The sequence below is a fragment of the Homo sapiens genome, chromosome 12, assembly GCF_000001405.40.
Source record: "Homo sapiens chromosome 12, GRCh38.p14 Primary Assembly".
Lineage (NCBI taxonomy): Eukaryota > Metazoa > Chordata > Mammalia > Primates > Hominidae > Homo > Homo sapiens.
In genome coordinates, this window is record NC_000012.12 from 18,304,730 (window position 1) to 18,331,476 (window position 26,747).

General features: G+C 34.0%; 1 protein-coding gene across 16 annotated transcripts in view, besides 1 other annotated feature; it reads left to right on the forward strand.

Moving 5' to 3' along the window:
- Positions 1-26,747, forward strand: part of PIK3C2G (phosphatidylinositol-4-phosphate 3-kinase catalytic subunit type 2 gamma) — a 483,857-nt gene that overhangs the window by 61,769 nt on the left and 395,341 nt on the right. For all 16 annotated transcript variants that reach the window (XR_931307.3, XM_047429007.1, XM_017019471.2 and 13 more), the window contains 3 exons: positions 9,233-9,335; positions 16,233-16,303; positions 20,306-20,369. Coding sequence is in view for 15 of the 16 variants with exons in the window: in XM_047429007.1 (XP_047284963.1) it covers positions 9,233-9,335; positions 16,233-16,303; positions 20,306-20,369 (238 nt within the window). In the remaining variant the exon portion in view is untranslated. The remainder of the gene's footprint in view (positions 1-9,232; positions 9,336-16,232; positions 16,304-20,305; positions 20,370-26,747) is intronic.
- Positions 15,306-15,600: a silencer, noted in NCBI's record as "tiled region #15440; HepG2 Repressive DNase unmatched - State 12:CtcfO". NCBI's record gives its function as "represses a minimal TATA promoter and a strong SV40 promoter by Sharpr-MPRA in HepG2 cells {active_cell/tissue: HepG2}" and the evidence as "EXISTENCE:reporter gene assay evidence [ECO:0000049][PMID:27701403]".

The following is a 26,747-nucleotide window of genomic DNA, read 5'->3' on the forward strand; positions in this document are numbered from 1 at the left end:
GGGGAAGAAGAGTCTTTTTTCTTCTCAGTGAAGTTAAGGATTTCACTTAGCAAACCTGAACGAATTGATTACTTCCAGCAAATTTGTTACAGCCTAAGACTTCAAATATTAAAATTCCTTCCAACTTTTAAGACTTACTTTGAGCAAAGAAATAGATAAAGTGCATTTCTCTTTTACATAACTCTACTCCTCCACTTATAAAATCACAGAACCATGTGGGAGGATAGAAAGGAACATATCATAACTTTGAGCTATCTCACACACAGTAAAAAAGTGTGTTCTGTTAATAAATCATTCAATTAGAGTTTCTTGAATGACTTTAATTTCTTTTTTAATCTCCTTCATAGTGCTTCACCTAATATTCTATAATTAACTTTGGTTTACATCTTCAGTAAATAGCTAATGACCACAAAAATAGCACACCATACAAACCTGCATTTGGTCTTAATTCAATAATTCTGTGCTAGAACAAATGTCCTCATATGTAGATACTCTGTATATACCTTCACTTGAGAGTGAAATCCCAAAGAAAGACCTTGTGCTAAATAAAGTTTGTTTATTATGATTAAAAGCTACTTGTAAAAATGACAGCATATTTCAGCCCCAAGTTTTTTAAAAAGCTGAATTGCACAAGCATCATTAACTAATAAACTTGGTCAAAGGAATCTCGAAGCTGTTGCAAGAGTGTTCCAAGAAGACATGGCAAATTACATGTGAAAGTAGGTACATAATTTAATATTATTGTAGATGTATAATACCAAAATGCAGCTGTCACATTATTTTTGTTACCCAAAAGCACTGTCTATTTTTCAAAGCTAAGAATTATTAAATCTTCCTAATTTTCAATTGATAAAAGTTTAAATGACCCAATGCTCCATTTTTCTTAAATAAAGTGATTAGTTAGAGAATTTTTGAATTACATATTTCTTCAAATTAGCTGAAATCACCTTAATAAGACAAAACATTACTCATTTATTGTTTTTTATTTGTAAAGTCTGTAGTAGGATGTTTCTCCTCTGGAGATTTTGTGGGAAAAAACAATAATAAAACCTTAGGATAGAATGAAGTCTGCATATTTGATCTCCTGGTATAATTACTAAATTTTATAAATTTCACATACCATACCCCCCACAAAAAGAGCTCCTTGGGGCTCAGTATATATTTTTTGTGAAAGAAAGAAAGTTACAGTTTCACCATTGTTATCTTTTTTTTTTTTACCGACTTTCTTAGTAACTTCATTTATATAGTTATGTTACTACTTGTCTTTTGTGACTGTGTTACTTAGTAGGGAGAGCGTTGCAAACTTGAGAGTTGTTATAAAACTTTTTTCCAGATTAAAAAAAAACCTCTTTGCAGAATGTTCCATTTTTTGAATTTTAAGAAATGCATATGTACTATATGTACGAAGAAAAATAACCATATTTGAGTGAGGAGGCATTAGGGATAGTTGCCTTTTTATAGGCTTGTGGGAAGTCTTAAGAAAAATAGGGCATTTGAATAGAAAGTTTCAGATCTCCTTGGTCCAAATCCCTCTTGAGTATTAGCTGTTGGTATCAATTTATGTCCCATACAGGATTTTTGTTCAAAAGCTTGACTCTCCTCTACTAACCACCTCATGCCTAAAAGCCCTAGTTTTAGGATTGAACCTATTCTTGTCTCTTCAAAAGTCATAAAGTTTGACTTTTCCTATTGGTAGCTCACTTGAAGACAAAATAACAATAAACTCAAGAAGCACTGGTTTAGTGAAACAACGTATCACTGACCTTTATCTATGCTGAGTCAGCTCCAAATACCACTTTGAGCACAAAATCCAGGGCTATTTTATTAGTTGCAAAGACCAGTTTACTCAAATTAAGGATATGGCAGATTTAACATTGTAGAAATTTTGAAGGGGCACATACCAAATGTGTGTACATGTGCCAAGTGTGCACATACACATAACTAGCTGAAAAATACTCTGAACAGTACTACAGTACTAATATTATTTTAATATTTTGTTATATTCACCTTACATTTCTGACTTAGTTATCCCAAAGATTTTAAGTCCAGCTTAGTTACTGAATTTTCTTAAAGAAATACCTTCAGAAGCTGTCAGCAATCCTGGTTTTCAATATTTACAAAATCAAATAGAAATCGTTTATTTTCTATACATGAGTTTAATATTTCACAATACACCTCTGTGACTACTTCTTACATGTAAGAATAAAGAACATTTTAGCTTAATTCAAATTATATAAAACAAGCGTAAGTATTTATTCCAATGAAAGAGCATCGCTTTTAAATGTGGGTTTCCAAGGAGCGGCTAGGGCAATGAGAATCAATATTCATAGTTTGAATGTTATCTAGGATGCTTACTTGCTCATAAGACAAATTTGAGTACTTATCACTTTTTGGTGTTAAGGTCATTAATCTCTCTTTATATAAACATATTGCCTCAGAAATACTTTAAAATAACATGAGCTATTTAGGAATAGGAAATAAGGGTAATTATGGTGCTAGAATTCAGCCTCTTAGTGTTCATCTTAAATGACAAGTATACTCATAATAGTTCCTAAGATAGTAACTAGCAGATAGATAGAATCAAATATGTGTAGAGAGAATAAATAATTAATATACAGAAAGTTTGATTTCCTAGGATATGGGAAGAAAAAGCCTAAACTTTTTATTGTATCACAGACATTCAGTTCATTTAACAGCTGAAGTTTTATAGATGATTATTAAATAAAACATAGGTAGTGCTCATATTTGGAATGTTACCAGACTGAGAAAAACACCTGGTGTGTACAACCTTAAATGGATAATTCCTGTGCTCATGTTATAAGCATTGTAATTCCCAGTGTGGCCTTTTCTTAGAGCACAACCCTTCTCTCCACACTACCCACCTTATGGTCCGTGCCTTTCATTTCTCTTTCTCTTGGTATGGTAACCTTTCTTCTTACCCTTTTTGATATCTAGAACTCTCAAATAAAAATTCATTTTTTACTGCACTTACTTATTAAATTCCCACCCTTCTTTCTATTATTTAATGCTTTTTCTCTCTTTTCTTTTTCATTTTCTCTACATAGCACCATTTAACAAATTTATCACGTAGGCCACAGAAGAGTTTTAAATTTTCTACTAGCCACACTAAGAAAATATGCAAAGAAACACATGGAAATAAATTCTAATACTACAGTTTCTTTAACTCAATATACCTCAAATATTATCATTTTAACATGTAATCAAAATAAAGAAAATCATTGAGATGTTTCACATTATTTAATATGACAAGTCTTGAAAATCTAGTGTGTATTTTACATTTATAGCATATCTTAATTAAAAGTAGCCTCATTGCAAGTGATTAGTAGCTGCTTGTATTCACTAACCGCTATACTAGACAGCATAGCTCTATATCATTAAACACAAACTGATCAAAATTGTGGTCTTGCCACGTATAATGGTAAAACGAGTAGTTCACAGCTCTTAGAAAGTGTGACGGTTATTAGAAACTCTAACGTCCTTTAAAAAACAGCAGAGATTTAATCTTAACTGATAATTCTACTACAATATTATATTATGAAAATAATTTGACCTAGAATTCTGGAACTAACAATAAGCCAGCATTCAAGGACAATGTAAAAATAGACATTCTCAGAAATAAAAACATTTTATGTCCATAAATTATCTCTCTAAAAAATTATGTGAAGATGTACTTCAACAAAATAAACAATGAAGCCCTATGGAATATAGATCAATGGTTAACATAATTACTTAAAAAGCTCTAAAATATAGTAAAAAAAAAAGAAAATAAATTAGTAGAGGCTCCTTTATCTATCTCTGCTTGCTTGACTTGCTGTATTAACACTCTTTATTTCCTTTACAAAACAGAATGATTAAGGCCCAGAATTCATTGTTTGTTCTAGAAGAGTAGTTATCAAACATTTTGGTCTCAGAATCCTTTAAACTCACAAATTGTTGAGTACCCCAAAAAGAATTTGTGTGGACTTTGTCTATCAATATTTACCATGTTGGAAATTATAATTGAGAAATTTTTTAAATATGCATTTATTATTTGAATTAAAAATGATAAACTTATTACACGTAAATACACATAAAATATTTTTATTATAAATACTATATATTGCAAAACAAAAATAATTTGTGAGGAATGTAGCACTGTTATGTGTTTAGAAATCTTTTAAATGTCTGGTTTAATTAAGACCATTGACTGCTCTTCCATTCAGTCTGTTGCACTATGATGATTGAGTGGAAGTATATAAAGAAAATTTGGCCTCACACAAATATGGTTTGTGGAAAAGATAAATATCTTAGTAGTCTTTTCAGATAATTGTGAACATCTTTCTTTGATACTACACCAAAATCAACAAGTAATAGTCTTTTAAAATTTAGATACAATGTGGAATATAAAAAAAAATCAATACTTTTCACACTAGGCTATTTAGAGTCCATTGGTCTGTCTTGCCCTATTGATAAATCTTTTTTTACCCATGCAAGATTTGAAGCATCATGGATTGTCATTTAGACAAATATGTCCATTGGATTCTGCAGATCTTCCAAATGTTGCCATACTTTACCATAAAATATCAAAAAGTTCATTTTTTAATATTAGCATTTTTCTCATGAGAAAAGTCTATAAGTATTGGTTAGCCAGCAAGCTCATAGTGGAAAATATAAATTTTACAAAATCCTTATTTCTGAAGTTGTTTTCCTTAAAAGTGACAAGCTTAGCTTGTTCATTTTTGACTGCCAAACACCTGTCTGAATAACCACAGTTTGCCTGTAATTCTCTCATGTAATAAAATTGTTTCATGAAAAAAGTTACTTCTTTATTTTGCCACTCAAGCAAGTACAAGAGGGCTTTTCCTGAAGACAACTTCTATATTATAGTATGCAGAAGTGCTTTAACTGTTTTTCCTATATGTTCATATAGAAAATTAAAGACACATGTATTTAAGGATTTAGATTTAACAAAATTAATAATTTTTACCATTTTATCAAGGATATTTTTAAGTGACACTGATTTTTATTTCCTACAAGTGCATGTACACCCTGGAAGTGTCTCTTGTAGCTCCAGGGTTTTGTAGACAACATTTTGATAACTACTTCTCTAGCATAATAGTTTACTATAAAGTATATTATGCCCACGCACTTTTGCTTCTGTAAGTTGAGTTGTAAACGTACCTAGAGTCAGTTGTGTTTATTCCTGAACCTTTTTATGCCAGTTCTATTGTTATTTTATTTAGGTAAGTAAATGAAGTATTTACAGAGTGATGAAGTATGAGTGAAGAAAGAAAGTCAGTGTTTCTATGAAAATGAAGTTGAAATTTTTAAAAGATAATTAATAAAGGAGAGCCATTAAAATCTATTGTTGCTGAATTCAATGTAGAGGAAACAACTTAGACTAGAAAAATAATTATAAAAATCTAAAATGATTTTCCATTCAAGTTTTTCTTTGACTCTAAGAATTTGCTACACATTTAAGAAAGTACAATAGGCAATTAAAGATAATTACTTATAGATTTGTTTTATATCAGAAAGATGACACAAAATTGTTATCAACTGACCCTTCATCCAATAGCAAAGACTTGATGCTAATATCAGAACTTTGGCTAGTGAGAGGCTACGTAGTTACGTTTAGTTTAAAAATAAACTATTTTTAAGAAATCTGTCTTCTTTATAATTCCCAACTTTAACTTTTTTAATCAACTAATCTACTACTTTTTATATTTCATCAAGTAAGTGATAAAAGAATCTGGAGCTAATATTTGAAGTGATCTCTACTTGAGCAGTTGTAAGGTTCTAAGAGAGAACTGAATTGAAGTCATATAAAGCTCTAAATTTTATTTGAGTGTCTGTCACATAGTAATTAAATTGAGATTGCAATAGAAAAGCTTTAAGATATGTTTCCTTTTCTTTAAAAAAGGTGACCACCAGAAAGTAAAAATATGTTTATGAATGTCAAGGCTCTAAAGATAAATAGAGAAAGAAGAGACTCAAAAATGGCTCAAATAAACCCAACAAATGAAAGGAAATAATTCTAAAAGAAACAATATAGTTAATATAAACCAAAAATAATATAGCAGAAGGCATTACTATAACTTGGATAGCTGAGACTTCTCTGATTAAAAGTCAAAGACTCAAAAATGAATTAAAAGGAATTTATAGGCTAGAGACATGACTAAAATAAGATAGTCTCATTCATAACAGAAATACGTGTGTTACCTATTTATTTCAGCCCTCAAAGAAAGTATAATAAGCTCTTGGTAATTGTTTTTCCAGAAAAAGGGAAAGGGAAGAATTTTTCTTATCTCTTTTATTTTGTAGAGTTGAGTAAAATTTGGATGTATCCCATGAGAATATATTCCTATAATGTAATTTGAAAAAAATCATAGAGGAAAAAGACTGTTTCAACATCTGTTATTACCCCAAATCTGATAATTATGGTGCCAGATTCCACCATATACACACACATACAGACACACACACACACACGAGGACATACACAATGAAGCAAAGGTAAGGAAAGAACTAAGACCTAGTTTTTGAAAGCAGTAAAATTGGCAGATGTAGCAAATAAAAATATAGAATATCCAGTTTTATTTCAAAGTCATAAATATTTTTAGTATATGTTTCATGTAGTATTTTATATGTAGTTATATGAAAGGTGTATATATATACACACTCATATACACACACACCTAAACAGTATTAAGGTATTATATCTATGTATCTATCTATATCTATATATCTCTATCTATATAGATAGACACACACATATATACACCTATATGGTATAAAGGGGTGTGTGTGTGTGTGTGTGTGCATGAAAATACACAAAGAAACAGGTGAAAATAAATTTTAATACTACAGTATATGTGTACATACATGTATACACACACGTTTAGTGTAAATATGTATCAAATACTACATGAAATATATACTAAAAATATTCACTCATTGTTTCTCTGTAATTTATAGATACTAGATGTATTAGTCAGGGTTCTCTAGAGAGACAGAACTAATAGGACAGATGTGTATATATAAAGGGGAGTTTATTAAGGAGTATTGACTTACACTGTCACAAGGTGAGATCTCACAATAGGCCATCTGCAAGCTAAAGAGCAAGAAAGCCAGTCCGAGTCCCAAAAACCTCAAAAGTAGGGAAGCCGACAATGCAGCCTTCAGTCTGTGGATGAAAGTCCAAGAGTCCCAAAGCTGAAGAACTTGGAATCTGATGTTTGAGAGCAGGAAGCATCCAGCATGGGAGAAAGATGTAGGCTGCGAGGCTAAGCCAGTCTAGTCCTTCCACGTTTCTCTGCCTGCTTTTATTCTAGCCATGCTGGCAGCTGTTTAGATTGTGCCCACCCAGATTAAGGATGAGTCTGCCTTGCCCAATCCACAGACTCAAATGTTAATCATTTGGCAACACACTCACAAACACACCCAGGAACAATGCTTTGCATCCTCCGATCCAATCAAGTTGACACTCAATATTAACCAACACACTAGACATCAAGTATATTATCTGGCAATTCTAGGAAGAAGTATACACGCAGGTGGATAAAATAAAGAAGGTCAGTTTAAGTAAGCACGCAGTAGCCATGTATGAGGCTGAAGTCATTGCACTGGTGTCCAGAGTGCAGTATCAAGACTTCAACATACAGAGAAAAGGAATCTTTGAAAGCAAGATGGGTCACTATTCTTAAGTCACCTCCCATAGCAGGAACAGGGAAACAGAGCTCTTAGCATGGAAAAAAGAGTTGAGTAGAGGGAGATGAAAGGACAGGAACTTGATTACATGTGATAGATTGTGAGGCTGGCCCTTGAAGCAAACCTTTGGGAAGGAGGAAGGAGAAATCAGTAGTTCCAAGAACAAGTGAAGAAAAGCAGTGGCCATGACTTTTGTCTAGATTGGCTGTGAAAACAACTCAGCGAACAGTGTAAGAGCCCTATGGATACCCCAGGGACAAGAATCTAGATTAGACTAACAGTTGGGATAGGAATAGGCACTGAACATATGTCATGAACATACTAACATTCACCATTTTGGCTAGCAGATAGGTACTAAGTTTTTTAAGTATTAAAAACAACGTTAAAATAGAAACATTTAAAAAGAATTTACTATATAGTATAGTAAATTCTATATAATTATTCTACATAATTCTATACATTTTTGTTAATTCATTTTACAGATTAATGGTCTATTTGTCTGGCATTGTTGGCAACAAGCTATGCCAACTATTTACTGAATTTTCCATATAAGTAAAATTATCATCTTAAGGATTACAAGTATCTAATATACTTTTTTCCTCCTGAAATCCTTCATATTTAAGGTCCTTTAAACAATGTGCATTAACATAACTCATCCTTTTCTCAATGACTAAAAGTCACCAGAGATACCAAAATTTAAAGCTGTAAAGGGACTTATATAGTAGAAGCCCTTCATTTCACAGAAGAATCAAATTGTATTTATAAGAAAAATGTTGCAAAATAGTAATTCATTGTGCTCTTCAGTTAATTTGTGCTTGATAAATATTTATAGGCAAAAAAAGAAAGAGAAAGGAAGGAAGACAAAGAAATATAACAGTGCCAGTAGAAATTTCTGAAATAGGTATAATTCTTTTGTTTATTCTGCTTGCTAACCCTTTGATGTAGACATTACTATTCCAACTCTAAAAGAGAAAATATTGGGTTTCAGATAGTTTTAGTTTAATTGGCCTTCCTAAGGTCATCGAGCTAGTAAATCTGTCTCTAAAGCTCGTGACATTTTCACCACATCCCAATGCTTTCTTGAGACAAGGTCTCCACACAGACATAATGGCATCAGTTAGACCACCCAGAAGCATGCTGTCATCAGCTTTGAACCCTGAGATGGCTGGGTAAAACTAACTTAGAATATGCAAAGTCTTATTTGTTAAAATTTATTGTGATAATTCTAAAGGTGTCTAATCATTTAATCATTTTCTAACTTATTAATGCACATAAAAATTTCACATTTCATCATTTATATCTATATATCTATATTTCCTGTCATATTATTCATTTATACACAAAAATATGTAATGCATATATATTCACACACACACACACACACACACACGCACACACACGCACACACTCAGTTTTTACCAAACTAAGTTCCAAAAATAAAAGAAAATGAAGTCAGAGAGGAAAACATGTATTTGGGAATATTATGGGAGGATATGATTGTGTTCATTTTTTCCTCCTTCAGCGACCACTGTTTGGGGAGCCACAAAATGTTTCAAAAAGATAAATCTGTTATTCAGCTCCACCTGCAGAAAAGTAGGGAAGCTCCAGGAAAGCTATCTCGAAAGGTAAGACTTTCTTAGCATTGGTTTCAATTGGCAAACTGACAGTTTTAAGGACAATATTTCTAATTTTTGAACTATTGCCAACTTGGAATTATATAGCTTAATTAATACATGTTTATTTAAATATATTCATTGAAACATGATGAAATATCTTATCTAAATATAAATACCTGTTAATGATTTGAACTGATGCAATAACATGAACACATTACTGCAATCTTAGTGTTATGGACTGAATGTCTGTGTCCCCCCAAAATTCATAAGTTGAGGCCCTGGGTGATAGTATTAGGAAGTGAGGTCTTTGGGAGGTATTTAGGTTTAGATGAGGTCATAAAAGCAGAGCCCTTATGATGAGGTGGTAAGTGCCCTTATAAAAAGTGTTTAGAGCGTTCTCTCTGTCTTCTTCTTTCTCCCTCCCTCTCCCTCTCTTTCTATCACTCTCTCTTTCTCTTTCCTCTCACTAGGTTAGGACACAGCAAGAAGGAAGCTGTCTGCACACAGGAAAAGGGCTCTGACCCTGATTATAAACTTTGCAGCCTATAGAACGAAGAGAAATAAATGTATGTTGTTTAAGCCACCCGGTCTCTGGTATTTTGTTATAGCAGCCCAGGCTGACTAATACACTGAGTATAACAAATCTGTTGGTTTCTTTCAAAAATCATCTGTGAGACACTTATTAAGGTTATCGTATTTATACTTTTCACATATCTTCTTAGAAGTAAATGAAATAGAAAATGTAAAGGGGAATCACTGAAGGCAAAAAAATAACTTGTTTTCTGTGAAGACTGTTTATGTCAACACAGCTTAAATTAGGACAGATAAACTTTCATAATATATATAATAAAGCTACCTAGAAAAGGATGACTGTGCTTTGACGATACAGTTTCATGCTGTTAGATGCGAATTTTATTCCCTGTGTCATGTTGTGAGTTACTTCCAATTCAAACTGCACAGTATGCAGTGAACTTTGGTATTATGGCAGTTTTTATCTGTAGAATCTTCAAATTACTTGCTTTAAGCAAAAATCCTCTCACCCTGTCATTTATATTAAGTAACAGATTTCCAGTGGATGTTTTCTTTTTTTTCTAGTATGAAGTGTTTCATCATAAGAAAATTTCAGGTAGTACATTAGGTTGCAACATATCAATGTGGAACATAACATAATGAGGCCAAAAGACAGTTGTTTAGAAATATCTTTTGGATCTTGTGCTCAACTTAGCTGCTGTTGACAGCTCCAAGGCTATACATCTGAAATCTCCAGGAAAAAAAATGTTATAAAGTGCAACTGACCCTGTCAATATTAAACTTAAGATTCTTCAAATTGCCCTCAATGTTGAGAAAAAAAAAGCTGAAATCATCATAGTTCATTGGAGCATGGGGGAAGAAGATAAAATGTATGATTCTAATTTGGATGCTGCTAAAATAATAACTTATCGGTAGTAATTAACAAATCACTAACATTTCAGACTCATGTAAATTAAGGTCTGTTTAAAAACTCTTGTAACTCTATTATTCTGATATAGGGCATACATACATGTCTGAGACTTTAACATTTCTATCACATTTAATCTTTTCAATAATTCTATAAGGTAAACACTATTAAAAATAAGGAAACGGAATCACAGGGAGGTATCAAGACTTTCCCAAGATTAAAATCATGAAACTGACGAGCAGAGAAGTACAGATTTGAGCACAGTCAGTGGGTCTTCAGAGCCCATGCATTCCTACCAACTTAAATGGGAAATATACTCAGAATTTGCAGTATATTCTCAAAGGTTTTGGATGTGTGTTTCAAGGTAATTGGTCAAAAATTCTAGCTTCATGCATCCACGTGTGTGTGTGTGTGTGTGTGTGTGTGTGTAATTTTTTTCCACAGCAATATCCATGTAGCTCAAAGTCTGGGGCATGATCGGTGATTAATAACTAACCATATTATATATGGTTATATATTATATTATGATGGTATATATTAGGTGCCAAGTGATGTTCTTAGTCCTTTAAATGAATTAATTGACAGTAACCCAAGAGCAAAGAAGTAATAAATACAACTATTTTTCTATCCTATAAAAATAAAAGAACTGAAAAGTTAAGAGATTATTTAAATCATCCAAAGTTGCACAGCTAGTAAATAAGGGTGATGAGATCAGAGCAAAACTATGTGGCTACAGATCACACTATATGGTAATGTCAGCAAGCGCAGTTACATAGTGTAGCTGACTCCGTCAATATTAAACTTAAGATTCTTCAAATTACCCTCAATGTTGAGAAAAAAAGGTGAGATAATCATATTGCTGTCATCACCGTTGTTGTCATGTCCAGGGACAAGCATATTGTTATCTCTGGGTGTATAATGTGTAGTTCTCATCAGAAATGCCAGTTTTTTAATATGCCATTTGAATCACAGTGGGAATTAAGTTACATAGTTCTTTTTGATGCTTCATGGTTCAACTTACAAGCTTATCCATCCTACAGTAAATATCACCAATTCTTGGATAATTCAGCAACTCATAGGCAAAGAGTATAAATGCCTTTTCTCATCCACAACTTTTGCTAATATTGATGCTGTTGTTTAAAATGGATAATACTTGAACCCGAGAGGCAGCGGTTGCAGTGAGCTGAGATCGCGCTACTGCACTCCAGCCTGGGTGACAGAGCGAGACTCTGTCTCAAAATAATAATAATAATAATAAAATAATGGATAATACACCTGATGGCAAATGTATTTGTATATTTGTATATCCTCCATTTATGCAATAAGTATTTGCTATGTAACTGCTGTGTATTAGGCCCTACACTAATGCGTAGAGTAGTGAGCAATAGCAATAAGATCTCAGCCCTCAGGGATTCAGGGGATGCAACTGACACTGATTTCCAATTAAAAAGCAGGGGTAACTTCCATGCAGAATATGAAAAAGGCATTCCGTATCCCCATCTCTCTAAGTCTTGATTCTTTTTTTTTTTTTTTTTTTTGAGACGGAGTCTCGCTCTGTTGCCCAGGCTGGAGTGCAGTGGCGTGATCTTGGCTCACTGCAACCTCCGCCTCCCGGGTTCAAGTGATTCTCCTGCCTCAGCCTCCTGAGTAGCTGGGATTGCAGGCACGTGCCACCATGCCTGGCTAATTTTTGTATTTTTAGTAGAGACGGGTTTCACCATGTTGGTTAGGCTGGTCTCAAACTCCTGACCTCGTGATCCACCTGCCTCAGCCCCACAAAGTGCTGGGATTACAGGCATGAGCCACTGTGCCTGGTCCAAGTCTTGATAGTTTCAGGATTTTTTTTTTCGCATTACATTTCAAAGGGGAAGATATTACATTTTATTAAAACTTTAAGGATTTACTTCCAGGAACTGGGATAAGTACTTTATACAGTATATACAATCTAGTAACAATTGATTAATTTAACAAATAAAACTTGTTACATGCCGTTCATAGTACTTGCCTTTTCTAAAATGTAGAGTTCACATCCTAGTTGAGAGACAGACAATAAACAAATATATATAATGAAGTCCTATGGAGATATGTACTCTGAAAGAAAATATGGCCAGCTCTAAAAGTTGAGAGAACCACCTAATGCAGATGGGTAAGAGGGGCTAGTGATAGTGCTTGTTTTTCTGTCTAAATCCTGGAGCACATAGGCCTAGCTCTGATCGTTAGAAACGAGGAATATTAAATTTGTTCATTTGGCCTTCTATAAAAAAGCAAAAATTCTGGTTTCATATTGCTGTATTTCAAATGTTCACTTTTAGGCAAATTGTTAAATCTCTGTTTAATTTCTTCATCAAAAAATGTGAATAATAACAGTTCTTACTTAATGTGGTTATTATGAGAACTCAACTGAGAAATATAAATGAAGAGCTTAAGTCAGTGCCTGCACTTAGTATGACTACCTAAGCAGTAGCTATTGACGTCATAAAATTGGATGTTTCACTGTGTGCTATTTTGGCCCTTTACAATTAAAAATTCTAAAACATTATTAACATTAATTTGCATTAAAACATTTAGAAATTTACTCACTGTGTTGGAAATATTGAGAGAGATGGACATTTGTGTGTTATGTCAAAACAGTATATACACTGCAGTATCATGACTTTTGTTGATATATCAACAATTTTAATATATCACAATTTTTCTTGTAAGCTTTCATACTCATAGAGCAGGATAAATTTTAGTCTTAATTGAAATTTCTATATGTAACAAGAAAGTAAAAGTAAACTGGTTTGGTTTTGAGGTAAGCTTTATAAAATTTTCTTTCTAAGATGTATATGATTTATTGATTAACTTAATATAACTGAAACAGTTTATCAACTTGTGTCTCATCTTCATTATCTGAATTGCCCTATTTTACATAAGTAACCCTTGATTTGTATATTTAATTTTATATATACATCATAAGAAGATAGCAAATGTTCTCTCAGTTTTATTTTTTATAATGGTGTCAAAATTCTCTGTGATTTTCAGGATTTCAGCTGTAAGTAAAACATTTATGAACAATTATAATCTTTCTAATAAAACTGTAAAATTGTCTTGATAGTATTTTTTTCACATAATACTAGGAATATGACTATCATCATTATATTAAATTTATTGATACCATTACCTCGCAGTAGATACTTTAGAGCTTTCTAATTGTGCAAAGCTCAATTCATCTTAGATAATATTTTTATTTTAAACTTGATAATATTATACTGAAATAGTATAATTTAATCCTCATTTCAAGAGAACAAGAAAGTTGTTCTAAAAAAAAAAAAAAGCAGGCCAGGAGCAGTGGCTTAGGCCTCTAATCCCAGCACTTTGGGAGGCCGAGGTGGGCAGATCACCTGAGGTCAGAAGTTTGAGACCAGCCTGGCCAACATAGTGAAACCCCATCTATACAAAAATAGCCAAACCTGGTGTTGTGTACCTATAATCCCAGCTACTCAGGATGCTGAGGCACAAGAATCGCTTGAACCCGGGAGGTGGAGGTTGTAGTGAGCCGAGATCACACCATGGCACTCCAGCCTGAGCGACAGAGCAAGACTCTGTCTCAAAAAAAAATAAATAAATAATAAAAAGCAGGTTGATGATCTTTAGAAATCATCCAAGGTTTCAAAATTTTAAAGCTGCTACCTTGATTAGCTATGAATAACTTAATATTTTTAAATTGGTTTCCCTTTTTGTCTATCTCAAATTTGGTCAAAAGTATGCCAACGTTGTAGAATCATAAAATCAAGATTTTCTTATAGCTCAGGGGAACATTCACGAACATTTACAGCAATAGATTTTTGTATGAGAAAAAAAAATTTTAACTTTTTCCTTTTTCCTTAAGGCCAAGGTATGGCCTCAGCTTTAAGGAAAAGTTAAGTGCACACTATCTTTCATGGACAATTACAGGAATTTTCCTCCAGCTTTTGTTTTTTTTCAAGATCTGTTAATAATTGTGACAAAAAAAGTTTCCAATACATGTATCTTACAAAGTTATTTTTCCTCCAGCCTATGAAGGTATTTAAATTAAAAAATTTTTCTAGCAAAAGGTACTATGACTAATACCGAAAATATTTCTGGAAACCAAATAAATTGGTTTTTAAATGAATATGATTATGCTTCATAGAAAGATGTAACTAAGTATATTCTTTATATTCTTGCTTTGGTTTTAACTTCTGAAAGAAGACAAGTGCCAAATATTACAGTTCAAATCTTACTTATTTTTACTGTTTTTCACTTTCCTATTTTCCCTCTTCTTTTACTGTACTTTTCATGACTACAGTTTAGCTTTCTCTGTCGCAGAAAAAAATTGTCTTGTCACCATCACACTTTTTATTTTAGCTGTCCCAGTGACTCTATATGTAAATTTCTAGAAAGTAAGACTCACATCTTCGTTTCTCAGTCATTCTACATAGTGTTTCTTTTTCACAGCATGTAGTCAAAATATTGTTTTATAACAGTGACCTTATTCTTTCCACCTAACTTAGCTTCCTTCTTCCTCTTCACAAAACAAACCAATATAAAAATTAATTTACCTTTGACATTGGGCCATATGAAGGTTTTCCTTCTGATGTTTTCTGTCCGAATTTCTAATAGTCAGTTTTAAAAATAGATTGTGTGTGTACTGACACACAAGATTACATACACCCTAGGCATTAAGGGACCCACTCAGATCTCAACCTTAATGCCACCGTGTGGTGAAATAGTGCAATTATGTTGAGACATACTGCATTCTCTGCATACTTGCAAAGGGTTTTCATGAATGCCCTGTTGCAGGAGAGCTGGTCAAGAAGTTAAGGTATGCGTGTGTGTGTGCGTGTGTGTGTGAGCACACACATATGGGCCATAGGCATGATATTTTAAGATAAGTAGTTCATGCTTATGTAGGAAGAAAACAAAATGCCAACTCCTAACATTTATACCTACCAGTAATTGTCATTAATTAGCATAATTTAGTGCTCATGGAATGGAAAACTCTCTTACACTGACATTTTGGCGGCAAGATGTGGTGAAGCTGAAAAATGAAGGAGTTGATTATGTGTCTGCCCGCCCATCTGGCAAAATGTCAGGCTTTACACTGCCATGGCACTCATGGCCTAAATGTGAAAACAAAATGTGCATGTATGTGGGAGAACTGGTGGCAAAAAATCTGCCTTCATACTTAGTAGAAGAATTTAATGTTTGACCTTGCTGATGCCACGATGTTTTTCAACTATCTTTCAGGTTTATTCTCAACAAAAGCCAAGCTTTCTGTTTTACTTTTGAAAAGGCTTATATAGTTAAGGAGAGCCTTTTAAGGTCTTTCAGACAGAATATAAAAGCGATGAATGAGGTTTATCAAAATAGGTGAATAAAATGACAGCAGGAAGTTACGGACCTATTTTTATCTGGTACTCATTCCTATTCACTCAATAAATATTAATATATTCTGCTGTCTACAGCATGAAGAGGACCACAGTCAGTTTTATCTGAATCAACTTCTAGAATTTATGCATATTTGGAAAGTATCCAGGTAAGATATTTTATATTTGTTCCAAGACTACTTTCTGATTGAGTTCTCAAATGTCAAATCTCAGTATTTTTCAGTTGATTGTAAAAACTGTCCATTCACTGGGACTGTGGAAGCTATTGTACTTTTAACAGGCAAATTCTGTTAATAATTATCCATTCTTCAAAGTTATTCAGACATATTTGAAGAGCTGCTAACACTTTCCAGAACATTCTAACATTCATTTAAAAAAATCTCTGCTGCTGGTTATTACATTTTCAAGGACTTGTTTTCCCGATTCATTTTGTGATTTTGGGTTTGCATATGTCACTTAAGCTCTTTGTAAAACAATTTTAATACTTCGAAGGTAACCATCTCCTACTTGTTTCTGAAACTCCCTGAAAATAAATGGTATATCATAAATACAGGAGTGTAAATTCAAATTGGAAAACTTGATTGACAACAAATGAACATATCCTACTTCATTCTTATATCTAAATGTATGCATGTATTATTTGGAAGAACAGACTTATTGCGTAGCTAAACTGGGAGTTTGGGTGTATCTGCAGTTAAGGTTGTTGTGAGCTGAACCAGTAGAAAATGTAGTGTGGGAGGTACAGGTCATAAATCTCTAAAGTAAAGGCTGATATAACATATCAGCTAAATTTACGATAGCAAAGACATGGGATCAACCCATATGCCCATCAGTGATTGACTGGATAAAGAAATGGCACATATACACCATGCAGCCATATAAAGGAATGAGATCATGTCTCTTGCGGGACAGAGATGGAGCTAGAAGCCATTATCCTCAACAAACTAACATAGAAACAGAAAACAAAATACCACACATTCTCACTTATAAGTGGGAGCTGAACAATGAGAACACATGGACACAGGGAGGGGAACAACACACACTGGGGCCCATCAGAGTTGGGGAGGGAGAGCATCAGGATAAATAGCTAATGCATGCAGGGCTCAATACCTAGGTGATGGGTTGATAGGTGCAGCAAACCACCATTGCGCACGTTTACCTATGTAACAAACCTGCACATCCTGCACACGTTTCCCAGAACTTAAAATAAAATAAAATTGGCCAAGTGCGGTGGCTCACGCTTGTAATCCCAGCACTTTAGGAGGCCTAGGCGGGCGGATCACAAGGTCAGGAGTTCAAGACCAGCCTGGCCAACACAGTGAAACCCATCTCTATTAAAAATACAAAAATTAGCCGGGCATGGTGGCATGTGCCTGTAGTCTCAGCTACTTGGGAGGCTGAGGCAGGAGAATCACTTGAACCCAGGATGTGGAGGTTGCAGTAAGCTGAGATCACGCCACTGTACTCCAGCTTGGGTAACAGAGTGAGACCTCATCTCAAAAAAAAAAATAATAATTAATTTAAAAATAATAATAAAATAAAATTAAGTTTAAAAATAAATAAAAATGTGAGCTAAAATTGTTTTTAGTGACTATGTTGGGTAATGATTTTGTGAAGTTATTATATATTTACATATATTATCTCATCTAATTCTTTCTAAAACTCTGTGATAGTATATATTATCCTGTTTCAAAACTAAAGAAACTGAAGTTCTGAGAGGCTAAATAATTCACCTAAGGCCATTCTAGTCATCAGTGGCAGGACTAAAATCAGGTCTGCCTGAAATTTACAAAGGACATTTTCTTTCATTAACTATTGTGTTTTTCCATTGCCCTTCTCTGCCACCCTTCCCCCTAAAAACATCCATCTTCACTCCATAAAATCATAGAATGGCTAGGACTAGAAAGGATTTTAGACATAATCTAATACAAATTTTCGTTTTATAGGTAATTACATGATTCCACTATAGATTTCTGTTGTATAACATACAAACAAGGTCTGTAGTTTCCTTTCTCCAAAATAAATCTACCCAGGGGTGGGGGGAACAGAGAGAAAGGGAGAGAAACACACATACACCTCAAATATGGGAAGTTTTTCAAAAAGCAGGATATCCTTGGGACACAAAGGACTTTGCTGGGTTGGTGGAGGGTTGTTGCACCTTTTAAGTCACTGCTACCTGGGGCACAGAGAGGCAAGCCAAGGCTGTGAGAAGAGAGTGAGAGAAGGAGGCTTTCATTCTGTTCTTGTCTTACCCCTGCCATTGCCTGCCCCCTAGCAGATATTTGATGGCCAGTGTGCAGTTGCAGGGGTCCAGAGGGTTAATTCAGGGCAAAGCAAAAGTTCTGCTGTAGCAAGGGTAGAGGAAACATGTCTGGGACAGCCTAGCTTCAGACTTTACTCCTCCATCCCTCCCTCCAATCCCAGGGCAGTGGATTACAGTCTGGGGTGATGCCATCTCCCAGTGCTATTTTGTCTGTGGTAAGGAAACTAAAAACAGAAGTTCAAACACTTGGCAACCATCACACAAATATTTAATCCCATAGCCATGACTAAAACCAAGTATCTAACTCTGAATCAGTGCTTATTCCACTTCCATTATGTTCTGACCCTTCACCCCTTATTTTTCTCAAAGGGTATCTAACACAGAGACATTCTCAGCTTCATAAAGGCCACTGTAGAACTTTACTTTTGGGGATACAATGCTTCCCTGCCTGCCCTCCTCAGAACACCGTATTGGATCACAGAGACATTCTCAGCCTCATAAAGGCCACTGTAGAACTTTACTTTTGGGGATACAATGCTTCCCTGCCTGCCCTCCTCAGAACACCGTATTGGATCATCAAAAAAATCAAGCACTGGATGGCAAGGGCTTTGATTTCAGCCCTTCTCTTTTATGACTCAACTTCCTCTTAGAAGTTGAGCAAATCACTCACCTTCACTACTTCCCAGTGGTTTTTTCTATAAAATAGATACAATATCCAAAAACAAAGTGCTGAAGTGGGTGCATTCTTGGTGGTACTAATAGTTTCAGGTTTTATATAAAGACACTGCCATTGGCCGGGCGCGGTGGCTCACGCCTGTAATCCCAGCACTTTGGGACGCCGAGGTGGGCGGATCATGAGGTCAGGAGATCGAGACCATCCTGGCTAACACGGTGAAACCCCGTCTCTACTAAAAATACAAAACATTAGCCGGGCGTGGTGGCGGGCGCCTGTAGTCCCAGCTACTCCGGATGCTGAGGCAGGAGAATGACGTGAACCCCGGGGGGCGGAGCCTGCAGTGAGCGGAGATCGCGCCACTGCACTCCAGCCTGGGCGACAGCGACACTCCGTCTCAAAAAAAAAAAACCACTGCCATTGCCCAAATCTTTAGTTATTATTTTCCTCCCCTTTCACTGACTTTTACATATTCTATGCATTTTGTCTTTGAACTGACAGAGGGACTCCAACTAAAGTGATAATGTAGAAAAATGAGAATGCAGCTACTGTAAAAATAATGGTGTTTGTTTTAATGTTGCGTTTCTGAGTTGTGTGACTTATGATTCAATTTAAGTCAGGAGTTTTCAAGACAAATAAGAAGGTAAAGTCAATAATGTTTGGGAAAATAATTTTTGAACAGCGAAGCTCAGAAGAATTTCTGCTCAAATTGCATGTCTTCTCCCTAAGCATAGATAAAGCTGGAGCAGTAAGAGAAGCTTAGGAAAGAAAAATGCAGAGGTTTGGTGTCAGAGACAACCCCATCTATTATAAATATAAGCCATTAATTCCAAATGCAATTCTCTACAAGATATGCCATACTTAATATTTCTTGATGTTAATATATGCCATTATCTGCTTATGAATCCCTTTGCAACTTACGGTTTGAATTAAGAGTAGTTTTATATAATGATCAGCCTTTGAGAGGTTTGGTTAATTTATCATGAATTCTTTGGAGTTCTAAGACTTTCAGATATGTTTGTAGTCTATCAAGTTATACAAACTTTATAAGGCACCCTTCTGAGATGTTTTTAAAATTATGTCAACAATAATCCTTTTTATACCATGCCTACGATAGTATCATGGGCAAAACAATTTGTGATAAATGTTTGTGCTAAAGGTAATATAAGTTTTCCCACCCAATTTTAAACAAAGTTTCTATTTTTTATTTTCCAGACAATGTCTCTTAACACTCATCAGAAAATATGACTTCCACCTGAAATACCTATTGAAAACCCAGGTATTGACTTTTGTTACTTTATCCATCAATTCAGTAAGCGTTTTTAACGCATCTACTATTTTTCTAAAACTTTGCAAATTTTGAAGATGACAAAAATGAATAAAACAGAGGATCTACACTTGAAAGGCTTTCATTTCAACCTGGAAAAATAGACAACTAGAAAGGCATATGCAGTAAAGTGCTACAGCTGCTGAGGAAAGACTGTATGTACACAAGATGCATAAGAAAGAATGGTCAGTTTTATCCATTTGAGCTGAATGTTGACAAATGTTGACTGTATGTGTCTCCCAGCCAGAGACGGGCATTGTGAAGGAAGGTGGGGAGTAGAGATAACTTTCGGCAAAGAACAACATGAACAGAGGCACTTTGGGAGTCCGAGGTGTGCAGATCACGAGGTCAAGAGATCGAGACCATCCTGGCCAACATGGTGAAACCCCGTCTCTACTAAAAAATACAAAAATTAGCTGGGCGTGGTAGTGGGTGCCTGTAATCCCAGCTACTTGGGAGGCTGAGGCAGGAGAATAGCTTGAACCCGGGAGGTGGAGGTTGCAGTGAGCCGAGATCGGGCCACTGTACTCCAGCCTGGTGACAGAGCAAGACTCAGTCTCAAAAAAAAAAAAAAAAAAGAGAGAGAGAGAGAAAAGAGTCAGGAACCAGACTGCTGTGATTAGGAAACTATGACATTTGAAATGGCTGCAGTTAGTGTTCAAAGTTAGAGGCTGGAAAAAAAATCAGATGAAAGAAGCAGACAGGGGCCAAATTATGTAGGATCTTATGGACCTTTTATGGCCAGTTTTATGATGTTCTACTTTGTCAGCTGATGACATGGAGCCATTAGGCAGAGTAGTAGAATGACTGATGGATGATTAGAAGGACATTTCATTAGCCCAAAGAGATGATGAGGGCATGGACAAACACTCTACTATAGGGATGATATGAGGGGACAGATTCATAAGAAGTGAAAATGTGCAATTTACATGATTTGGTGAAATTATGTGCCTAGAATAACTCAAAATTCTGGACTGCTGACTGACTCTGTGGAGACATCAATTCACTATAATAGTGAAGAGAGAAGGTAGCATGGCAGAGGGAATGATGGGTTCATTATAAGGCCACTGAAATTTGGTCACCTATTGGGCACTGAAGTTGTGATCTCCATTAGGCAGATTATTTCTTACAGCTTCTTCTTCCAGGGAAGGTTTAGCCTTCCACAGATAACACATCATATTATTACAGAATATTGTGAGTCAGGGAACATTTTTTAAACAAGTGACTTCTTTCTTTCTGTTAAATAATTGATTCCTGATATAAATAAAAGGGTACATAACTCAGATAATAACTATTTGTAATATCAATAAACACTAAATATATCTGAAAATAATAAATTCTACTTATTGATGTAGATACTGAAATCATATGTGACTTCCACATAAATATGTAAAGACATGGAGACTACAAATACAAGACTTAGGTTTCTCCCTAAAGTGTAATCCTCTCACCCTAATTCTATTTTTTCTGCTCCAGCCTGGTCTGAGTCTGGAAGTTTAAAATGTGGAATGTGAAAAGAATCCACAATTAGCTTGTTTTAAGTCTCATAAAAGTGTTTTGGTTAGTACCTCTAATCAGCCTTGTGAGAGTCATTCTTTCTCATGTAGAATGTGAAACTTACCAGGTTACCAGGATATATTAAGACTTAATTCCTAGAGTATTTTTGTCTCTTTACTATGTGTAGAAATACTTTTGAGGTTATGGTAACCTACTTATGAATGAATTTTAGTTATCTAAATGTCTCAGCACTGCTCACATATCATAGACATCTTTTTTCACACACAAATTATTAATAATTTATAACAGTTCTTAATTTCCAAATTCAGAAGTTTGATCTTATTACTTATGTATGAAGCCTCCTATATTTCTAGTTTGAAAGAAATGATTGACTATTGTAAATTTTTCTAATATGACTTAAAAGTTGGCAAAATACCAAAGAAATGCTGTCTTTCCATTATCACTGGCAAACAGCAATCATCACTCGCAGCTAAATTATTTTATAAATAGGTCACAGTGTATGTGATTTTCCAGATGAACTCAATCCAAAACAATGAGTTCTTTAATGAGATTTTTGCCTATGAAACATCAATAGTAAATATCTTAGAAATGAGGACAGACTATGATATTATCAGTTCACAATTTTGCGCTTTCTATTCATTTGACAAGTACATTAAGTAGCATTTCATCATGTCCAAAACAGTGTCAATTGGAAAAATAATGTTTTTTTCATATTTCCCAAACTTGGATTATTACACATGATTTGAAAAAACAACAAGCATGCAGCTGAATAAGTCAGACATGAATATTATTGAATAATATGAATATTTTAAAGTACCAAATATTTTCTTTCTTGACAATTATTATTTCAACATATTTTAGATGATAACAATTTTAGGCCAGGCATTCTGGCTATTATGTCAAATGGCTAGTTTTGTATCTAATTTACAAAGAGCTTTTTCACTGGACATTTTTTCCTCTCTTCTATTCCATTAAAACCCTGAACTATAGAGAATATTTTTGAATTCATTCTGTATTCTTAATTTTATAGAAATTGAATAATATGAATTCAATAGGAATTTCAGAAATATTAAGAATGGAAAAAAGAGAATCCTCCCCCCCAAGGTATCACTGAATGCTTACTTCATGCAAATTATGAAACTGTTTACTCACTGAAACCAAGAGAAATGGGAGTTCAAACCATACTCTGAAGTTGTCGATGATCTAGTTGGAGAGACAGCATATCCACATAAATAATATACACAATGGTGTCTATACAGAGCAAAGCAGTATAAAACTAAATCGTAGCCTTGGAGAAAGAATCAACTTCTGATTTAAAATCACTTCTTCCTAGTAGTCTCTAATATGTTGTCTCCAAAATTCTTTATTAAAATGCCAGTGAGGATCATGGTAGGAAGTCCCTACCATGAATGACAAATTTACACTAGAATCTAGTAATTGTTGAATTTATTGTAAATTAGATGAACCAGGGTTGAGGAAAAATCAATTCATGCTTCAAAATGTGGTTTAGCTTCATGAAACATCGATCTGGTCAGAAAATAACTGAGAACCCCTAAGTCCTTCTACCATCTAGCCCATGACTCAGAGGCTATACCAAGTAGATAACCAGGAGAATATGACATCTCTAGTGTTCAGGTTTAAGTAATTCAGTGAGGAGGGCAAAATAATCTTATTTAACACTTGCTCAAGACCAAAATCTAACTGTATTCATCTAGAGAGAGAAAGAAAATTCCATATATGAGTAGAAAGAAAGAGGACACATAGGGATTTTATATTTAGCTTCTTTTAAACTGAAGCTCTCTTGGTTACAAGCAAATCTATTGTTAGACTTTCAGAAGTTCCAATTTCAAACATAACTTAAGCCTAATGGTAGTCTAAAACAAAATTTAGGAGCAGAGATTCCAAAGTCAGATAAATGTATAAGTCAACCCTCCACCACTATGGAAGTTTTGTATTCGACCTTCCTCAGATTTATATGATTCATCACTAGAGTGAGGATAATAAATATAATATAATGATGTTTTAAATAATTAATGAAACAATGGATATAATGGGCTTAGTATAATATAGTGATGGAAGATAAAACATTTTTAAGAAAAGGTGAGTACCCGTGTTACTTTACTGCTACCGTTTCTATCACTATTATTCAAGTTGAGGATTGTATAGAATCCAGAAGAAAATTTTCACAAAATTGATTTGCATTCAGAATAGAACATAAGTAAAGGTGGGAAATGAGCAAAAAAAGTGTAAGAAAATTGGATAAAATTAAGAGGTAACAAGGAGCAGTTGCAAGGTTGCAAAAGAAGTCAAGGAAATAAAGGCAATAATTATTTATTATTATACAGCACAGGAAAATGAAGCACAACTGCAGAATTGAAACTGACCTTAAAAGAAATAAAGGGCAGATTGTACTAAAAGTCAAAGCTATCATGTATAGAACACTCTCAGACTTGAAGAAGTATAAAAAAATTAAAAGTAGATTATCAAAATAGAAGATAATCACTAGCCAACATAATCTGTGTTGCTAATGAGATGGAGAAAACTAGAGGGTTTTGTGCGAAGGAATAACATGATCTGACATTCTACTAGTGATTTATGTACTAAATTATATAATACATGAAGAACACACAATTAAAGAATAATAATAGAAAACCCACTCTTATTAATAAATTAAGGAACAAAATATTTTTGGTATCACACACCTGTTTGCCACTTCATGTCTCCTCTCCTCTATGTAAAAGGTCCTATTTGATGAAAAGGATTTTGTAGACTTTCTTTATCATTTCATCACCAAAGTTTGCATCTACTAGCAATATAAGGTGTTGATTTTCTTTCTAAGGTCTCCATGAATGGAATCAAACTATATGCACTTTTTGAGCCCTGTATCTTTCACTCAGTATTATTTGTGAGATTTATCCACCTTTTTCCATGTGGTTGTTATTAGTTCATTTTCATTGTTGTGTAATAATTCCATTAAAAGACTGGACTTCAATTTATCTATCCCACTTGTTGGTGTATATTTGAAATAATATCACGAGGTTTTCTAGAGCACATAGCTAGGGACATAGATTTACAAGGCAACACCAAACACTTTTCTAATGATGTTTTACCTTTTACCCATTCACAATATATGAGAGTTCCTATTGCTGCATTTTCCCACCAACTTATAGTACAGTCCAAATTATAAGTGTTTGCCAACATTAGGTATATGTAATGCTATCTTTGTATTAACTTTAATTTTTCTGACTCACAAATTCATACTAAACTCATAAATTTGTCTTTACCTTTTTTAAAAATGTACTATTCAATTGCCCTCTTTCATAACTTACCTGTTCAAACTTTTGCGGATATTTCCACATTTCTGTAGATTTTTCAAAAAGATTTATGGGAGTTCTTTATATATTTACCCTTCCTTCAGTTATGTGTATTGTAAATGTCTTCTGCCATTTAGGGGCTTTTCGCTTTAATTATAATGTCTTATTTATTAAGTCACTTTTCTTAAAGTTTAATTTATATAAAATAAAATGCACCCATGTTAAGTGGGTAGTTTGACTAGTTTTCAAAATGTATATAATTAGGTAACAACAACTGGAATGAAGATACAAGATATTTGCATTACAAGAGAAAATGCCCAACTGCGTCTTTACAGTAAATCTCTCTCATCCCAGATTTCATACACCAAAAATTTATTTGCTCTCAATTTGGTTTTATTTTGCCTTGACTTTTATATAAATGGAATCTCATATACAATATAAGAGTTCTTGTGGTTCTGCATCCTCACCAACACCTGTTATTGTCAGTGTTTTAATTTTAGCCATTCTAGTGACTATGTGGCAATATTTCCTTCAGTTTTTAATTTGTATTTCCTCAATGGCTGATGATGCCGAATTACTTTTCATGGAATTATTGCTCATTTATATATTTTCTGCTGTCAGGTGCCTGTTCAAATCTTTTGCCTATTTTTAAAGTTGAACTATATATCCTCTTGTTATCAAATTGTGAGGGTCCAGAACCTTACCTGGGTATCAATGAGAGGCCAGGGATGAGGAGCAGTAAACTCCCTCCTGCACACGACTAACTGCAATTGTAATCATTCTAATATGTTCCAGAAGAAAGTTCACTGTGAGGTGTAGGACATATGTATTGAAAACTTTGTCTCCCTGTCTGTGACTGGTTGTTGGTTCGTTCGCTTGCTTTTTTATTTCACTTACGTGCCATTCAAAAAGCAGAAGCTTTTAATCTTTGTGAAGTCCAGGTTTATTTTTACTTTACAGTTTATGCTTTCTTATCATATTTAATAAAGATTTGCCCACAGAAGTTTGCATACTATATTTTTCAATACTATTTTTAGTTTTAGCTGTTCTTTAGTTCTATGATCCATTTCAAGTTATAGTTGTAGTTCTAGACCCCCTGTTCTGTTTCATAAATCTATGTCTATCCTAATACCAGTCAACATTACCTTAATTACCATACGTTCATGGAAAGTCTTGGTATCAGGCAATATAAGTTCTCCAAAATCATTCTTGTTTAAAAAAATATTTGGCTATTCTAAGTACTTTGCTACGATTGCGTTGAATATATAGATTGATGTAAGGAAACTTGATATTTTAAAAAATTGTATTTTCTAATCCATGAGAGATCAATTTAATCTGATCTATTTCTTCACCTACACAGGTTTCTTAAATCACTCAGCAATGCTTTACAATTTAGCATAGAGATTATGCATAGTTTATTAAAGTTATTAGTTCATGTTTTTGTCTAATATTTTAAATAATATTTTTATATTATTTTCCAGTTGTTTGTTACTAATAC